General features: G+C 56.4%; 2 annotated features.

Moving 5' to 3' along the window:
• Nucleotides 1,301-2,001: an enhancer, noted in NCBI's record as "H3K27ac-H3K4me1 hESC enhancer chr14:94291181-94291881 (GRCh37/hg19 assembly coordinates)". NCBI's record gives its function as "activates a minimal SCP1, AML or CMV promoter by ChIP-STARR-seq in primed H9 embryonic stem cells {active_cell/tissue: H9 hESC(primed)}" and the evidence as "EXISTENCE:reporter gene assay evidence [ECO:0000049][PMID:30033119]".
• Nucleotides 2,002-2,703: an enhancer, noted in NCBI's record as "H3K27ac-H3K4me1 hESC enhancer chr14:94290479-94291180 (GRCh37/hg19 assembly coordinates)". NCBI's record gives its function as "activates a minimal SCP1, AML or CMV promoter by ChIP-STARR-seq in primed H9 embryonic stem cells {active_cell/tissue: H9 hESC(primed)}" and the evidence as "EXISTENCE:reporter gene assay evidence [ECO:0000049][PMID:30033119]".

Genomic DNA, 3,571 nt, shown 5'->3' with positions numbered 1-3,571 from the left:
GTCTCGTTCTGTAGCCCAGGCTGGAGTGCGGTGGCGCGATCTTGGCTCACTGCAAGCTCCACCTCCTGGGTTCATGCCATTCTCCTGCCTCAGCCTCCCAAGTAGCTGGGACTACAGGCGCCCACCACCACGCCCGGCAAATTTTTTTGTATTTTTAATAGAGACGGGGTTTCACCGTGTTAGCCAGGATGGTCTCGATCTCCTGACCTCATGATCCGTCCGCCTCAGCTTCTCAAAGTGCTGGGATTACAGGCATGAGCCACCGTGCCCGGTCTAGATCTTTTCTTTATTGCTGCCTGGTCAGTGCTCCATTAGACATTCATGCCACATTTTGAGCCCCTGCTCTGTGGTCACCGTGGGGAACATTGCAGACCAGGTCACTTCCTTATAGGCGCCTTGAGATCAAGCACCTGGCCATGTTTCTCTAGATCCATCATCCCGCTTCTAGCTATGCTTCTGGACTCTGTTGTTTTATACTTTAGATATTGTCTTTCAATTTTTGATGTCAATTTTCCTTTCTAGACAGTGAGCAGGGTCTGTGTCATTTTCTTCTTTTTGGGGGATGCAGAGGATGAGGTCTTGCTCTATTGCCCAGGCTGGTCTCAAACTCTTGGGCTCAAGTGATTCCCCACCCCACTCAGCCTCCAGAGTAGCTGGGATTACAGGCACGCTCCACAGTGCCTGGCTCGGTGTCATTTTCTTCTTGGTGGCACTAGGCATGTCAGGTATTCACGTATGTTTGTGGGACAAATGAATGAATGAATGAATGACATGAACAAAATGAGTCTTTCCAGAGGAGAAAAACAGGAAAATGGAAGTTCCAGAAACCAAGCATGTTGAGGGAAATGCATCTAACCTGGGGAGTAGATTTAGGGGGCACTGGAGAACTGTAAATACTTTAAGGGATTGTTATGTGGGAAAGAAATTAGAATCAATGTGAACAATAGTCACTATTTCTTGAGCACCTACTATGTGCCAAACTCTGCACTAGGGGTTTTTCGTCTTCTCACTCACTCCTTATGACCAGCACAAGGAGGAGTCCTTCTCATCCCCATTTTATAAGTGACAAGGTGGAGGCTGAGAGACATGAGACCCCATGGATGGGGTCCATCAGAGTGCTGTTAAGGAAGAAAGCCAGAATTTGAAGGCAGGTCTGTCTCCATAGTAGAACTCCACCTTCCTACAGTGAAATAATAATAATAATAAATAAAATAAAAGGCCAGTGTCTCCCAAGGGCAGAAGTAAACCTGAGAGAGAGAAGTCATAGAGAGGAAGTCTCTGACTTTATCCAAGAAAGAACTTCTAAATTCCAGGGCTGGCCCCAAGCAGAACAGGTGGTGATACTCCTGTTCTAGGAGGTATGCAAGACGCAATAGAAACTGCTCCCTGAAGATGACCAGAGGATCAGTTGGTTCCTGTCTGTGAAGCTAGAAGAACTGCTTTTCAGACTCCAGAGGGTGCACCCCCCATCTGACGCTGCAAGCGCCCTCGCCCCTACGTGATGGCAGCACTGCGGGCTCCCAGGAAGAGGCCTCACCCACGTCCCCATTCCACCACCCCCCCGGGAGCGGCTGCGTGACATCCTCGCCCCCCGCGGGCGCCCCCCTCCTGGGGTCGGGAGGCCCCCTGGGGAGTTCCCACGCAGCCCGGGCGGCGCCAGCTGAGTCAGGAGCTGCCTGGCTCCACAGGGTATTGCAGCAGCAGCCTGCAGGTGGCGAACAGCGGAGCCTGGAGGAGTGGTCCCTGTGCTGCCCACCGCCTCCAAGCGTCCGGGCGCCTCTGCAGGCACCTAGCCTGGTTGGGAGGCGCAGTCCGCTGGGGTGGACACCCTGGAGGCTCCTTTCCGCCCCCCACCCCACCCCCTTCTGAGCACCTGCTGTGTACCAGGGCAGCGGGTCAAGAAGCCAGCCATGGAGTCCAGCAGCAGGTTGCGTCTCCCAGACCGCGGGCGGGTTCCATCTCCTCTCCACGCCTCAGTTTCCCCACCAGCAAGACTGAGTAATTAGCCCTGACCCCCGCGGGGTGGCAGAAGGGCCTGACAAGCAGATGGAAGTGGGAGCACAGAGGGGCCGGCGTCACCCCCACTTCATCCTCCCAGCAGCCCCGTGAGACGACAAACGTGGCAAAAGCACGTGCCCTGCGATCACCCGGCTGGCACGTGGCAGAGGCTGGATTGGAATCCATGCAGGTCTGAGGCCAAGCCCCAGCTCCCTCTCCCCTGCTGGGGCTCCCTGGGAGCAGCGTCAGCTCAGCCCCAAAGCCTGAGGACCCCTTAACCACCCACACCCCGAGCTGTGGGGTCACAGCCCTTCACAGCCAGGAGGGAGACGGTCCCTGGGGTCGCTACTGCCCCCACATCTCCCTGGAGGCAGACCCCTCAAAGAAAAGTCAGGGCGCAAGGTTTAGGCCAGATGGCAGCTCCTCAGAGCAGTCGTTGTGTCCCAGCAGGGAGGGTCCCTGGGCTGGGGCGGCCATGGAGAGCAGAGGCCTTTCTGGGAGCGAGGAAGGCAGGAAGAGAGCCATGGAACTGTGGGCCAGGGCTGGAGACTGAGGGCCCCCTGCCTTCAGGGCGTGCCTGTGGCTGCTGGCTTCCTGGGCACACAGCTCAGGGTTCTGAGGAAAACTCAGAGCTGCAGCAACAAGGGGAGGTGATGAGGGAGCCGGGTCCGGGGGAAGCGGTGCTGTCCAGGGGAGGTCGGAAACCTGTGTGGGTTCAAATCTCCATCATGGCACTTACTGTGGGACCCTGAGAAACCTACCCCCTCCCTGAGCCCATTTTCCCACATGGGAGATGGGGAGCACGATCTCACCTCGTTCATTCTCTGGGGGATGGAATCAGACAATGGGCAGGAAGCATCCAGCACAGTGCCAGGGTCCTGAGCACGGTGGGTATGCCCAGCACAGTGGGTGCTCCCTACACAGTTACTCTTATTAAGGTTCCCCAGGCCCCAGGCTCTTAAAAACCCCAGACCTGCGAGGCTCCCTCCCTCCAGGAGACAAGTATCCCAGTGGCCTGCTGTGCATAAAGAGGTCTCCCAACCTGAGTGGGACAGTTCACCACCAGTTCAAAGCCCACCCGAGAGCCTTGCCTGCTCTGCGTGGATGTCACTGCCCCTCCACCTTAATGGGTTTCCTTCCCAAACCACCCCACAGAAGCCCCTGGGGCGGAGGATGGATCACCCTGGCCTAAGCCTGCGTGCTGATCTCCCCCTGTCTACTGCCCCAGCCCCAGCAGCTCAGCCCCGCCAGGAACATTGATGGTGAAAGGCAAGGGCTATGTGGGTGCACTTGACATCCCAAATGGTGGGAGTCTGACCACACTAGGACAGAGCTGGCTTTCCAACAGGGCTTTCTCGAGAGATGGGCTGGGGGTAGTGCGAGAGAGCTCTGGGATCCTGGAGGGTCTGGGTTGGAATCTGCCCTTTCTCAGCTGTGTGACCTGGGGCAAGTCCCTCCCTTTTCCAAGTTCACTTCTCTTGCTCTGTAAGGTGGGTTAATGACATCCACTGCACCTGGTTGTTGAGAGACTAAATGAGATCATGAATAAAACTTCATGTGGGCCAGGCGTGGT

This window comes from Homo sapiens, chromosome 14 (genome assembly GCF_000001405.40).
Source record: "Homo sapiens chromosome 14, GRCh38.p14 Primary Assembly".
In the NCBI taxonomy this organism is placed as follows: Eukaryota; Metazoa; Chordata; class Mammalia; order Primates; family Hominidae; genus Homo; species Homo sapiens.
Note: the sequence above shows the minus strand (reverse complement) of the source record. Positions and strands in the feature narration are given on the sequence as shown.